Raw genomic sequence first — 14,342 nt, forward strand, 5'->3', positions numbered from 1 at the left:
TTGTACTTGGCTACTCAGGAGGCTGAGGCAGGAGAATGGCTTGAACCCGGGAGGCGGAAGTTGCGGTGAGCCGAGATCGCGCCATTGCGTTCCAGCCTGGGCAACAAGAGCGAACTCCGTCTCAAAACAAAACAAAACAAAAACCATGTTGAACTGAATGACTAAAGGGATGATAACACCTGCTTCACAACTGCAGTAATATTTATTTATTTTGGTTTTGTTTTTGAGATGGGGAGAGGGGAAAGGGGGGACCTCAAAGGGGTCTTGCTATATTGCTGAGGCTGGTCTGGAACTTAGACTCCTGAATAGCTGGCACTAAAGGCGTGCACGGCCAGTATATTTAAGTGACACAATATAGTGAATGGTAAATGCTACTATATTAGCTGTTGTTAATCATAATTATAACGTTTGCCATCTCTAGCGATCATACTTTAACCTTTCTCCATAACTTCAGTCTAAATATGTTGACATGTGGTCAAAAGTAATTCATGTTAGGTGAGAAATTAAGAGGAGTCATCCAGGCCTGAAACCAGCTCTGAGAACTGGATATACAGCCACCAAGTCACAAGCAAAACACCTCTCACCATCCCCAGCGCGGTAAAGGAGGGACCAAGGATGTCTATTGGTCGTCTGCTAGTTTGCTTTCATTAAGAGTCAGATGCTGGGGCCACGGTGTAGGTGTCACTGGAGCTGCGGGGGGGGCAAGATGACCCCGAAGTCACGACAGAAACAGTGAGTTTCTGCTGCTGACAAGTGCAGCCCTCTCAAGACAAAGAGCGAGTGCCATGTTTCCCAGATACAAATTCCTCCGGGGCAAGACCCACAAGGAGACCTGGTTGCTGGCGCCACCCAACAGCTCCTTCTGGGCTGCCCCTGGTTCTGTTCCCGCCCAGGGCTCCCCCTTTATCTCATCCTTCCAGCCCCTCCTCACTCACCTCCTTGCACAGCGCGGCTCAGAGGGGGCAGCGGAGGGGGGTCCTCAACTCCCTCCCAGCTCTCCGCCACCACCCCCCAGCCCCCTCAACACCCATTTCCGGCGCCCCGGCGTCCTTTCTCCCGCTCCGCGTCCCTCCTCCAGCCCGGCGTTCCCGTTCCCAGGACGCTGGCTCCCTCCTCTCCCGCTCCCTTGACTTCCCCGGCTGGGGCTCCGGCCACCGCCCCTTCCGGCCCCCTCCGGCGCTAGACACTAGCCCCGCGACCTCTTCCTTACCCCCCGACCCCCGCCCGTACCGGGATCAGTTCCTTGAGCGAGCGCCGCACAGGCACGATTTCCAGCTCGCCCTCCTCCACCTCCATGGGCTCCGGCTCGCCACGGTCAACACCGGACTCCGCCTCAGGGGACGGGAGCCCCAGGGCCGGCCCCGCCGGGGCCTCCGCCTTCACCGACACCCGCAGGCCCCGTACGGCCGCCATCGCTGCCTGCCGGCCGCACCACTGAGAGCCCGCCCCTCACGGCCGCCGGCTAGAGCGCCGCTGCCACTGGCCACAGAGGAGCCGCCGCAGCTACCTAGAGCGTCGCCGGCTTCGGCCCAGAAGGCCGCCCTTAGCGCCGCCGCCCCCTGGTGGCGGGAGAAAACCGGGCCGGCTGCGCGGGCGGGACCTGGGGAGGAGAAGGCGGGACTGAGCGGGGACGGGGGCGGGGCCTGCGGGAACTACGGAGCTTGGAGGAGACCGGGGTAGTCAAGGGTTACAATGTAGCTACGCCTTGAGGCTAAAGCTGTACTAAAAGCCAACTTTCCTGAGTGATCACTATGGGCCAGACACTTCCAAGCGCTCGAACCCTTAGAACAACTCTATGAAGTAGATCCTATTTTGACCCCCATTTCATATATGAGGAAACTGAGGCATAGAAATTGACCCAAGGTGACGCCATTTAAGGGATAAAAGCTGGATCTAAGTCTTCCAGAGTTTACAATGAGCCTTGATATATCACCTCTGGACAATCTGTAGGTTTATAAAGTTACTTGCCTTGCCAGTCTTTGTCTCTTAAAAGTCTCCCCAAAATTGGCCCATGTTACATACACAAAAATTGAGACTCCAAGAGGGAGAGACCTGCCCAAAGGCCAGAACTTGGACGCCGATTTCCTGACTCCTGAGGGTGCCATCCACTGTAGACCTGTGAGCATAGTTTCCGGCGGATATTTCTAACGAGAGCCTGGTGGGGGAGAGGGGTTGTCTACGCGTCCCGAGGGTGTCACTGATCAGCTGCTGTTCTGAGTCCTGATTTTCTTTTTCTTTCTTTCTTTCTTTCTTTATTCCTTTCTTCCTTCCTTTCTTTCTTCTTTTCTTTCTTTCTCTTTTCCTTCCTTCCTCCCTCTCCTCTTTCTTTCTTTCTTTCTTTTTTTTTTTTTTTTTTGTAGAGACAGGGTTTCACCATGTTGACTAAGCTGGTCTCGAATTCCTAACCTCAAGCGATCCACCCGCCTCGGCCTCCCAAAGTCTTGGGATTACAGGCATGAGCCACCGCGCCCGGCCTGAGTCCTGATTTTGCATCTTCCTCCCTGGGTAACCTTGGACAGGTTTTTGGGTCTGTTTTCCCATCTGAGGAGGGCATAGGTGAGACCCTACAGTCTCTGAGGCCCTGAGGCCCTACCAGCTCTGACCATGGAGGAGCAAATAATGATAAACCAAGGAAGAGCATGGTCAGCATCAGACACACCTGGGTTTCGAGCTGGCTGGCCGGGCCCCATCCACCATGTGTGACCTTAGGCAAGCTGCTTAGCACTTTGGAGTCTCAGTTCCTTCATCAGTAAAATGGACCATTACCTACCTACAAAGGAGGTTGTGAGGGTTAAATGTGATAATTTATATGTAGATACAGGGTCCAACAGAAGGGGTGCAGTACATCACAGTTTTTCTTAAATTTGGGCTAAACCACAGGATAAACACAAGACAGAGCTCTTTAGAGGACTAGTTTTATTTGATGAATGGGACACAAAGTACTTTTAAAAATTGGGTTGAGGCCGGGCACGGTGGCTCATGCCTGTAATCCCAACACTTTGGGAGGCCAAGGCGGGCAGATCATGAGGTCAGGAGATCGAGATCATCCTGGCTAACATGGTGAAACCGTGTCTCTACTAAAAAAAAAAAATTAGCCGGGCATGGTGGCATGCACTACTTGGGAGGCTGAGGCAGGAGAATCACTTGAACCCGGGAGGTGGAGGTTGCAGTGAGCCGAGATCATACCACTGCACTCCAGCCTGGGCGACAGAGCGAGACTCCGTCTCCAAAAAAAAAAAAAAAAAATGGGTTGAATGCATACATAGAATATGTACGGGTGTGTGTGTGTGTGTGTGTTTAATTTCAAACAAAATGTGTAGTTGGGGTGGCCAGCTATAGGTAAGAGTCACAGCCCCCACCATTACTAGGCCTGTGGGGTTAGGGGATGGGAGAGGAGGAAGTAATCCCTCCTCAGCTATGGACACCAGGAGGCCAGTAGAGAAGGCTGGGCAGGCCCCTCACCCTGCTGGGGAGGATGCCTTGTTGCTTGAGGACGCAATTCGGTGAGGATTCAGTGTTGCAGTTCAGTGCCATCCAGAAGAGCCCCAGCACCCTGGCACACCAGCCGGCAGGTACATGAGGAGTCCAGGACAAGCCGGGACATCAGGCAAACACCAAGGCTCCTAGGCGCGTGTCAGGAAAGCCCTCTGTGCCTTGCTCTTTGTGGTCACCTTAGTCACCATCTCCCATCCCCTTTCCTGTTCGCGATGCAGCCTGCTGAGTTGGAGACACAGAGAATTTAGGAAGGTGGTAAGGGCTGATTTTCAAAAAGTTGAAAAACATGACTCTCAAACAGATGTAAAATGAACACATGTCAAAGCTGTTACCCAGTCATTAGAAAATGAGGAAACCAGTAGAAATATGAAGAATAGTTTGAAGGGGAACTTGAATGAATATGTGGTTGGTCAGTCAAAGGAATGCTGAGATGAATTTGACAAGGCAAGTTAATGTCCTGTAAGGCAAGAAACGATAACCTCCAGGACTCCCTTTACCACCAGACAGAAAACATTTGCATTACTACTGGACAAGAATTATTTACTTGTTATAAATTTTCTTTTTTTTCTTTTTTTGAGATGGAGTCTCGCTCTGTCACCCAGGCTGGGGTGCAGTGGTGTGATCTCGGCTCACTGCAAGCTCTGCCTCCCGGGTTCACGCCATTCTCCTGCCTCAGCCTCCCGAGTAGCTGGGACTACAGGTGCCCACCACCACGCCCGGCTACTTTTTTGTATTTTTAGTAGAGACGGGGTTTCACCGTGTTAGCCAGGATGGTCTCGATCTCCTGACCTCGTGATCTGCCCGCCTCGGCCTCCCAAAGTGCTGGGATTACAGGCGTGAGCCACCACGCCCGGCCAAATTTTCTTTTTTCTTTTTTTTTTTTCTTTTTTTGAGATGGAGTCTCGCTCTGTCACCCAGGCTGGAGTGCAGTGGCACGATCTCGGCTCACTGCAACCTCCGCCTCCTGGGTTCACGCCATTCTCCTGCCTCAGCCTCCTGAGTAACTGGGACTACAGGCGCCTGCCACCATGCCCAGCTAATTTTTTGTATTTTTTTTAGTAGAGACGGGGTTTCACCGTGTTAGCCAGGTTGGTCTCGATCTCCTGACCTTGTGATCCACCTGCTTCAGCCTCCCAAAGTGCTGGGATTACAGGCGTGAGCCACTGCACCCAGCCACCTGTTATGAATTTTCTATAAACCTCTACTCTCAGTTGTAAAATACCCTAATCAATAGTGCATAAGAAGTCAGACAAAGCTATACATCTGTAGAGAATCAGATGGTTCCCCAGGCAGATAACACCTGGCACAGTACCAACAGGGCATTTTCCTTTTTCTGTTTCCAAAGTCTGGATATATATTTTTTTTAGATGGGAGTCTCACTCTGTTGCCAAGGCTGGAGTGCAGTGGCACGAGCTTGGCTCACTGCAACCTCCCCCTCCCAGGTTTTAAGCAGTTCTCTGCCTCAGCCTCCCGAGTAGCTGGGATTACAGGCACGTGCCACTATGCCTGGCGACTTTCTGTATTTTTAGTAGAGACGGGGTTTCACCATCTTGGCCAGGTTGGTCTTGAACTCCTGACCTTGTGATTCACCTGCCTCAGCATCCCAAAGTGCTGGGATTACAGGCGTGAGCCACTGCGCCCGGCAAAAATTTTTAATTAATAGAGAAAATCAGGGGAATGGGACATTGGGACAGACTGGAGAGAGAGTTTTAAGAAGGGAGTGATCAAGTGTCATGTTCTGCCATAAGTTCACGATGGAACTTGTTTTGGGTCTAGAGGTTTGCTGGCCATTGGTGACTTTGAGGAGAGCAGAGTCCATGAAGGGGAAGGCACATTAGTGGGGAGATTTGAGCCAGTGTACACAACTCTCAGGAGAAGTAGGCTAGAGGGCAGGGAGGATATTAACAGGCTCTTCTAAAGGGTTCCTTTTCTGTGATTTCTTTCATTGAAATTGGTCACTCCCTCTCCTTTATTTATTTATTTATTTATTTATCGAGACAGAGTCTCACTCTGTCACCTAGACTGGAGTGCAATGGCACAATCTCAGCTCACTGCAAGCTCCGCCTTCCGGACTCAAGCGATTCTCCTGCCTCAGCCTCCCAAGTAGCTGGGATTACAGGCATGTGCCACCACGGCCGGCTAATTTTTGTATTTTTAGTAGAGACAGGGTTTCACCGTGTTGCCCAGGCTGGTCTTGAACTCCTGGGCTCAAGAAGTCTTCCCACCTTGGCCTCCCAAAGTGCTGGGATTATAGCCGTGAACCACCACACCCAGCCCTCTCCCTCTGCTTATTCCTTCCTCTCTTACCCAGCAAGGAGGGGAATAAAAATAATGGAATCCTACTTCCCCTGGAGTGGCACAGGGAAAAGCCGTGGAAAGGTAATGTGAGCTCCTCAGGAGAAATCAGATGCTCCCTGAGGGCTGGTAACCTGGTGCACTTGCCTGAGCTGATGCCCTGCTGATTGAAGCAGGGATGTTCTTTAGTGCAGTCTGAAGCTGGGTGCCCGCGACCTGCACGCCTCACACTCCTCGGTTCATGAGTGTCCTTGCAACATGCGCACGCCCATCAGTCATTCAGGAAAAGCTTCCGTGGTTGAAGAAGAGGTCATGAGGCAGCTGACCCTGGTGGGGGCACTGTATCTATGTGCCCCATCCACTGCCTAGCTAAATTCTTGTTTTTGTTTGTTTGTTTTGAGGTGGAGTCTCTCTCTGTTGCCCAGGCTGGATCTCAGCTCACTGCAACCTCCACCTCCTGGGTTCAAGCAATTCTCCTGCCTCAGCCTCCCGAGTAGCTGGGATTACAGGTGCCCGCCACCATGCCTGGCTAATTTTTTTGTATTTTTAGTAGAGACAGGGTTTCATCATGTTGGCCAGGCTGGTCTTGAACTCCTGACCACAGACGATCCACTCGCCTCAGCCTCCCAAAGTGCTGGGATTACAGGTGTGAGCCACCGCGTCCGGCCATAGCTAACTTCTTGCAAGGACCATCTTCCCTCACCTTCTCCATTCTCCCTCTCTCCATCTCCCTCACTTTCTTCCCCCCACCCCCAAGACGGAGTCTTGCTCTGTCCCCCAGACTGGAGTGCAATGGCGCGATCTCGGCTCACTGCAACCTCTGCCTCCCGAGTTCAAGCAATTATCCTGCCTCAGCCTCCCAAGTAGCTGGGATTATAGGCGCCACCACCATGCCTGGCTAATTTTTGTATTTTTAGTAGAGGCAGGGTTTCACCCTCTTGGCCAGGCTGGTCTCAAACTCCTGACCTCGTGATCCACCCCCCTCTGCCTCCCAAAGTGCTGGGATTCTAGGCATGAGCCACCGTGCCCGGCCATGTCTCTCACTTTCTCGATCTTCTCCTCACCTCCCTTGAGCACTCGGCATCATGGATGCTGAGGGCCACTCCCAGTTCCTGAGACCACACACGCTCTGCTGTGATCATGCCACTCATGGTTTTCTTTTTTCTCCACCGCTCCTGCCCTACGGCCTTTGCAGGTTCTTCAACTTCCACAACAGTGGCATTCTGCCAGAGCTCAATCCTGGGCCCCTTCTCACTCCCTCGACTAGCTCATCACACGCATGGCTTCCAACTCCACGGCCGTCCACACGCTGAGGGCCCCCGCGTCTCCATTTCCAGTTCTCGCCTCTCCCTCGAGCTCCAGATGCGCATGTCCAGCTGCCTCCTGGACATCTTCCTTTGAATGTAGCAAGGCGGGTCCATTCCTGCGTTCGCTCCCTCCCTGATCAGCACCACAGTCGATCCAGGTGGGCGTGGCTGGAAGCTTGGGGCCCCCCTGACCCCTTCCTCTCCCACCCGCATGGCCAGCCCATGCATGGTCTTGTCACTCTGGCCTCCCGCATATCCCTCATGTCCGTCTGCTTCTTTTCATCCTGGCCACATCCTACTAGCATCCCTTGAGTGGACACTGCCACGGCCTCCTCACTGCCCTCTCTTGTTTTTCTGGTTCTTCTATTCCCATCCTTCTACATTGTAGCCAGAGAAATCTTCATTGTTGTTGTTGTTGTTTGTTTTCTGTTGTTTCTTTGTTTTGAGACAGGTTCTTGCTCTGTTGCCCAGGCTGGAGTGCAATGGTGCCATCTTGGCTCCCTCAGCCTCAACCACCTGGACTCAAGTGATCCTCCTGCCTTAGCCTCCCATGTAGCTGAGACCACAGGCATGCACCACCACATCCAGCTAATTTTTGTTTTTTGTAGAGATGGGGTCTCAGTTTGTTGCCCAGGCCGGTCTTGAACTCCTGGGCTCAAGTGATCCGCCTGTCTTGGCCTCCCAAAGTGCTGGGATGACAAGTATGAGCCACCACATCCGGATTACAAGCATGAGCCACCGTGCCTGGGTGACAAGCATGAGCCACGGCGCCTGGCCTGAGTGATCTGTCTTTTCGGTACACATGCTGCAGCCCCGTCCGCTCTCCAGCTTCATCTCTCACGACTCTCTCCTCACTCCCAGCATCAACACTTCGGTTCTTGGAAAGCACCATTCTCCCTCCTCCCACAGGCCCTTGCACAAGCCAGGCTCCCTGCTCAGAGCTTTCTTCCCCCTCCTTCCCTTGGTCTAGTGAGTTCTGTCTGAACCTCAGATCACAGCTGGAACCTTCCTTCCTCTGGGAAGCCTTCCTGACTACTCTCAGAGAGCCACTCACCACAGGCCTTTCCTGTAAAGCGCCCGTCGCTTCAAAATCATCCAAGCACATGCATGGCAACTTGATTCGTGTCTGTCTCCTGCAGCAGAATGCGAGAACCATGAGAGCAGCGACGGTGATGGTTTGGCTTAGTGTCTAACTCAGAGCCTGGTTACAGAAGGCCCGGGACAAATATTGAAGGATGGATGGATGGATGACAGACAGATGGACATATCAAAAGGAAATGAGACTTTTGCCCATACTAGATTTAGTAACACAGAACCCCAGAGCCACCACCTCCCTTTACCAAATTCTAAACCAGGGCTATTCATGTCAACCCCTGCTGTCGGTGGCTCACACCTGTAATCCCAGCACTTTGGGAGGCCAAGGCAGGCGGATCACGAGGTCAGGAGTTCGAGACCAGCCTGGCCAACATGGTGAAACCCCATCTCTACTAAAAATACAAAAAAATTAGCCGGGCATGGTGACAGGCACCTGTAATCCCAGCTACTTGGGAGCCTGAGGCAGGAGAATCGCTTGAACCTGGGAGGCAGAGGTTGCAGTGAGCCGAGACTGCACCACTGCACTCCAGCCTGGGTAACAGAGAGAGACTCCGTCTCAAAAAAAAAAAAAAAGCTCTCCCTCTCGCTCTCCCTCTCCCTCTCCCTCTCCCTCTCCCCACGGTCTCCCTCTCCCCACGGTCTCCCTCTCCCCACGGTCTCCCTCTCCCTCTGTTTCCACGGTCTCCCTCTCATGCCGAGCCGAAGCTGGACTGTACTGCTGCCATCTCGGCTCACTGCAACCTCCCTGCCTGATTCTCCTGCCTCACCCTGCCGAGTGCCTGCGATTGCAGGCGCGCGCCGCCACGCCTGACTGGTTTTCGTATTTTTTTGGTGGAGACGGGTTTCGCTGTGTTGGCCGGGCTGGTCTCCAGCTCCTAACCGCGAGTGATCCACCAGCCTCGGCCTCCCGAGGTGCCGAGATTGCAGACAGAGTCTGGTTCACTCAGTGCTCAATGGCGCGCAGGCTGGAGTGCAGTGGCGTGATCTCGGCTGGCTACAACCTCCACCTCCCAGCCGCCTGCCTTGGCCTCCCAAAGTGCCGAGATTGCAGCCTCTGCCCGGCCGCTACCCCGTCTGGGAAGTGAGGAGCGTCTCCGCCTGGCCGCCCATCGTCTGGGATGTGAGGAGCCCCTTTGCCTGGCTGCCCAGTCTGGAAAGTGAGGAGCGTCTCTGCCCGGCCGCCATCCCATCTAGGAAGTGAGGAGCGCCTCTTCCCGGCCGCCATCCCACCTAGGAAGTGAGGAGCGTCTCTGCCCGGCCGCCCATCGTCTGAGATGTGGGGAGCACCTCTGCCCCGCCGCCCCATCTGGGATGTGAGGAGCGCCTCGGCCCGGCCGCGACCCTGTCTGGGAGGTGAGGAGCGTCTCTGCCCGGCCGCCCTGTCTGAGAAGTGAGGAGCCCCTCCGCCCGGCTGCCACCCCGTCTGGGAAGTGAGGAGCGTCTCCGCCCGGCAGCCGCCCCGTCCGGGAGGGAGGTGGGGGAGTCAGCCCCCCGCCCGGCCAGCCGCCCCGTCCGGGAGGTGAGGGGCGCCTCTGCCCGGCCGCCCCTACTGGGAAGTGAGGAGCCCCTCTGCCCGGCAGCCACCCCGTCTGGGAGGTGTGCCCAGCGGCTCATTGAGAACGGGCCATGATGACAATGGCGGTTTTGTGGAATAGAAAGGGGGGAAAGGTGGGGAAAAGATTGAGAAATCGGATGGTTGCCGTGTCTGTGTAGAAAGAAGTAGACATGGGAGACTTTTCATTTTGTTCTGTACTAAGAAAAATTCTTCTGCCTTGGGATCCTGTTGATCTGTGACCTTACCCCCAACCCTGTGCTCTCTGAAACATGTGCTGTGTCCAGTCAGGGTTAAATGGATTAAGGGCGGTGCAAGATGTGCTTTGTTAAACAGATGCTTGAAGGCAGCATGCTCGTTAAGAGTCATCACCACTCCCTAATCTCAAGTACCCAGGGACACAAACACTCTGCCTAGGAAAACCAGAGACCTTTATTCACTTGTTTGTCTGCTGACCTTCCCTCCTATTGTCCTATGACCCTGCCAAATCCCCCTCTGCGAGAAACACCCGAGAATGATCAATAAAAAAAAGAAAGTCACCTGGAGAGCTGAAAAGGTTACATACTATGTGATTCCAACAATATGATATTCTGGAAAAGGCAAATCTATGGAGACAGTAAAAAGATCAGTCGTTATCAAAGGGAGAAAGGAGGGGGAGAGATGAATGGGTAAAGGACAGGATTTTTAGGGCAGCAAAACTTTTTTTTTTTTCTGAGACAGAGTCTCGCTCTGTCACCCAGGCTGGAGTACAGTGGTTTGATCTCGGCTCACTGCAACCTCCGCTTCCCGGGTTCAAGTGATTCTCCTGCCTTAAGCCTCTGGAGTAGCTGGGGATACAGGCGCCTATCACCATGCCCAGCTAATATACATATTTTAAGACAGAGTCTTGCTCTCTCGCCCAGGTTGGAGTGCAGTGGGGTGATCTCCGCTCACTGCAAGCTCCGCCTCCTGGGTTCACACCACTCTCCTGCCTCAGCCTCCCGAGTAGCTGGGACTACAGGCGCCCGCCACCACGCCCAACTAATTTTTTGGTTTTTTTAGTAGAGATGGGGTTTCACTGTGTTAGCCAGGATGGTCTTGATCTCCTGACCTCGTGATCCACCCGCCTCGGCCTCCCAAAGTGCTGGAATTACAGGCGTGAGCCACCGCGCCCAGCCAATTTTTATATTTTTAGTAGAGACAAGGTTTCACCATATTGGCCAGGCTGGTCTCCAACTTGTGACTTTGTGATCTGCCCACCTCGGCCTCCCAAAGTGCTGGGATTACAGGTGTGAGCCACCGCGCCCGGCCATAGCAAAACTATTCTATGTGACACTGTAATGGTGAATACATGTCATTATACATTTGTTAAAAACTATAGAATAATACAACTCAGTGAGTCCTAATGTAATCCGTGGACTTTAGTTAATAATAATGTATCAATATTGGTTCATAAATTGAAGCAAATGTACCCCAATGCAAGATGTTAATAATAAGAGAAATTGGGGGGCGGGAGGTGGAGGTTGAGAGGATATATGGGAACTGTCTGTCTCTCTCTCTCTTCCTTCCTTCCTTCTTTTTTTCACAGGGTCTCACTCTGTCACCCAGGCTGGAGTACAATGGCGTGATCTTGGCTCACTGCAACCTCCGCCTCCTGGGTTCAAGCGATTCTCCTGCCTCAGCCTCCTGAGTAGCTGGGATTACAGGTGCCCGCCACCATGCCCCGCTAATTTTTGTATTTTTAGTAGAGACGGGGTTTCACCGTGTTAGCCAGGATGGTCTCGATCTCCTGACCTCGAGTGATCCGTCTGCCTCGGCCTCCCAACGTGCTGGGATTCCAGGCATGAGCCACCACTCTGGCCCTGTCAGTATCTTCTGCTCAATTTTTCTAAAAACCTAAAACTGCTAAAATAATTTTTTTTTTTTTTTGAGATGGAGTCTCACTCTGTCGCCCAGGCTGGAGTGCAGTGGCGCAATCTCGGCTCACTGCAAGCTCCGCCTCCCGGGTTCAAGCCATTCTCCTGCCTCAGCCTTCCCAGTAACTGGGACTACAGGCGCCTGCCACCACGCCCAGCTAATTTTTTGTATTTTTAGTAGAGACGGGGTTTCACCGTGTTAGCCAGGATGGTCTCGATTTCCTGACCTTGTGATCCACCCGCGTCAGCCTCCCAAAGTGCTGGGATTACAGGCGTGAGCCACCACACCCGGCCTAAAATAATTTTTTAAATATAAAATATATATTTTAAAAAATCCTGACACCCAGACGGCATCCTTGACCATTTGAACCAGAATCTCTGAAGGTCGACCCAGGCATGAGGATTTTTTAAAAGCTCCCCAGGAGATTCTAGAACTACCCCTTCGAACTGAATGGGGCTGGGGTGGAGGGAGCAGACAGACTGCAGTGGGGAGCCCTTTCTCAGCTTTGGGGTGGGTTTCCGAGGGAGGTAGATGGATATTGGCACAGATTGCCTTAAAGGAGCGGGAGCGCCTGAGGGCATGGAGAATCTCGTCCTTGTGAAAGCTCCAGTGCCTTAGGCACGGTCCCTCTTGGACTCTGGTGGGGACCGAGTGAGAAGTTTGGCCGGTGCCCTCCTGTGCTGTAATTCTGTATCAATCTGGTGACCATTTCAATGAACCCACCTCTGGATTTTTCCAGCTGCTGAACAGGCCTTGGAGGGCGGGGTCAAGCTTGACAAGCAGGGGCAGGGATTGAGGGGAGGCAGTGTCCCGCCGGAATGGCTGGGCCTGAAGAGGAATGGGAGCAAGGTGAGAGGGTGGGACATGAGTGGGGAGGGCATCCAGAGAGGCTGACGGGGCCTTGAGCACCAGGCTGAGCACCGTGGGGACCATGGCAGGGTTCTGAGAGGGGCATGGTCAGGTGGGTGCTCAGAAAGATCACTCGGGCAGCCAGGGAGGGCATGGACCAGAGGGCCAAGGACCAAGGCTAGAAGACCAGTGAGGAGGTGAGAGATGGCGAGGCTGCATTTGAGGGGCTCCAGTGGTGGGGAGGAAATGAGAACAAGATGGGCTTATTGGTCTTGGTGTCTGGGGAGCTTCAGCCTGACCACCAGCACCCCTCCTGGAGAGGGCATGGTACAGCCCCTCACGGGAGCTTTGTGGGACCACCAGGAAGCAGGCAGGAGCAGCTCTGGTCTGTTTCTCAGATGGAAAACCTGATCACCCCACTGGGCAGCCTATAGCCTGGTCTCCCTCCTGGTCTTCAGCAGCTCTGATGGACCCAGAGGGCAGCTTCACCCAGAGGGAAGCTCCACAGCTGGGCAAATACCAGTCACGTAGGACGTGCTGAGACCGTGACCCCCAAGGCTGGGTCCGGCAGCCCCGAGGCAGAGAGGCCTTTCCTTTTAAGGGTGTCATTTGCTGAGAATTTACCACGTGCTGAGCTCTGTACCAGGCGCTTGGCACAAGGACTTCATTTACCGTCACAAGAACCCTGCAGTACTGTGAAACATATTTGGTTTCGAGCCCATTTCCTGGCATGCAACTCCTGAAATCCTGAGGATCTCCAAAGGGATAGCTTTTTCCCTTTTTTTTTTTTTTGAGACAGAGTCTCACTCTTTCGCCTAGGCCGAAGTGCAGTGGCACGATCTCGGCTCACTGCAAGCTCCGCCTCCCGGGTTCACGCCATTCTCCTGCCTCAGCCTCCCGAGTAGCTGGGACTACGGGCGCCCGCCACCGTGCCTGGCTAATTTTTTGTATTTTTAGTAGAGACGGGGTTTCACCGTGTTAGCCAGGATGGTCTCGATCTCCTGACCTCGTGATCCACCCCGCCTCGGCCTCCCAAAGTGCTGGGATTACAGGCGTGAGCCACCGCACCAGGCCAGGGATAGCTTTTTCTTTGCTAACGAATTGACTGGTGGCTGGCAGCCCCTAGGTGGCTTCAGGATGGGGTCTGGTCACCAGAAAGACCCAGGCAGGATTAGAGGGTTGGGACTGTCAGGCCCATCCCCTACCTCTGGGGAGGAGAGAGAGGCTGAAGGTTAAGGTGATCACCAATGGCTAATGATTTAATCAATCATACCTAGGTATTGAAACCTCCACAAAAACCCCAAAAGGACAAGGTTTGAGGAGCTTCCGGAGAGCTGAACACATGGAGGTCCCTGGAGGGTGGCATCCTGGGGGGACATGGAAGCTCTCCACCCCTCCCCCGTCCTTTGCCCTGTGCATCTCCCCTCATCTGTATCCTTTGCCAAATCCTTTATAATAAACCGGTAAACGTGTTTCCATGAGTTCTGTGAGCCGCTCCAGCAAATTAATCAAACCCAAAGAGAGGGTTGTGGGAACCCCAACTTGAAGCCGGTGGGACAGAAACTCCAGAGGCTGGGACTCATGACTGGTGTCTGACTGAGGGACTGTCTTGTAGGCTTGTGTCCTCAACCTGTGGGATCCGATACTGTTTCCAAGCAGACAGTGTCGGAATTGAGTTAGAAGACACCTGGCTGGGGTCTGCTGCAGAAGGGATATGGGGGTGGGGGGGACTCCACATGGTTGGTCACAGAAGTCTTTTTTTTTTTTTTTTTGAGACGGAGTCTTGCTCTGTCGCCCAGGCTGGAGTGCAGTGGCGCAATCTCAGCTCACTGCAACCTCCACCTCCCGGGTTC

The 14,342-nt window shown here is 53.5% G+C and overlaps 1 protein-coding gene and 1 long non-coding RNA gene across 4 annotated transcripts in view, besides 2 other annotated features; one reads left to right on the top strand and one right to left on the bottom strand.

Moving 5' to 3' along the window:
- NCBP3 (nuclear cap binding subunit 3) overlaps window positions 1-1,436 on the bottom strand; it is a 44,089-nt gene extending 42,653 nt beyond the window's left edge. For all 3 annotated transcript variants that reach the window (XR_007065313.1, NM_001398494.1, NM_001114118.3), the window contains exon 1: window positions 1,231-1,436. Coding sequence is in view for 2 of the 3 variants with exons in the window: in NM_001398494.1 (NP_001385423.1) it covers window positions 1,231-1,413 (183 nt within the window). In the remaining variant the exon portion in view is untranslated. The remainder of the gene's footprint in view (window positions 1-1,230) is intronic.
- Window positions 1,135-1,424: a silencer, noted in NCBI's record as "silent region_8020". NCBI's record gives its function as "represses an Ori minimal core promoter by ATAC-STARR-seq in GM12878 lymphoblastoid cells {active_cell/tissue: GM12878}" and the evidence as "EXISTENCE:reporter gene assay evidence [ECO:0000049][PMID:35858748]".
- Window positions 1,605-1,724: a silencer, noted in NCBI's record as "silent region_8021". NCBI's record gives its function as "represses an Ori minimal core promoter by ATAC-STARR-seq in GM12878 lymphoblastoid cells {active_cell/tissue: GM12878}" and the evidence as "EXISTENCE:reporter gene assay evidence [ECO:0000049][PMID:35858748]".
- Window positions 11,389-13,970, top strand: LOC124903897 (uncharacterized). The gene is made up of 2 exons (XR_007065580.1): window positions 11,389-11,429; window positions 13,767-13,970. It is a non-coding gene; the product is annotated as an uncharacterized LOC124903897 (long non-coding RNA).
- Window positions 13,971-14,342: the final 372 nt, after the last annotated feature.

Source organism: Homo sapiens, chromosome 17 (assembly GCF_000001405.40).
Source record: "Homo sapiens chromosome 17, GRCh38.p14 Primary Assembly".
In the NCBI taxonomy this organism is placed as follows: Eukaryota; Metazoa; Chordata; class Mammalia; order Primates; family Hominidae; genus Homo; species Homo sapiens.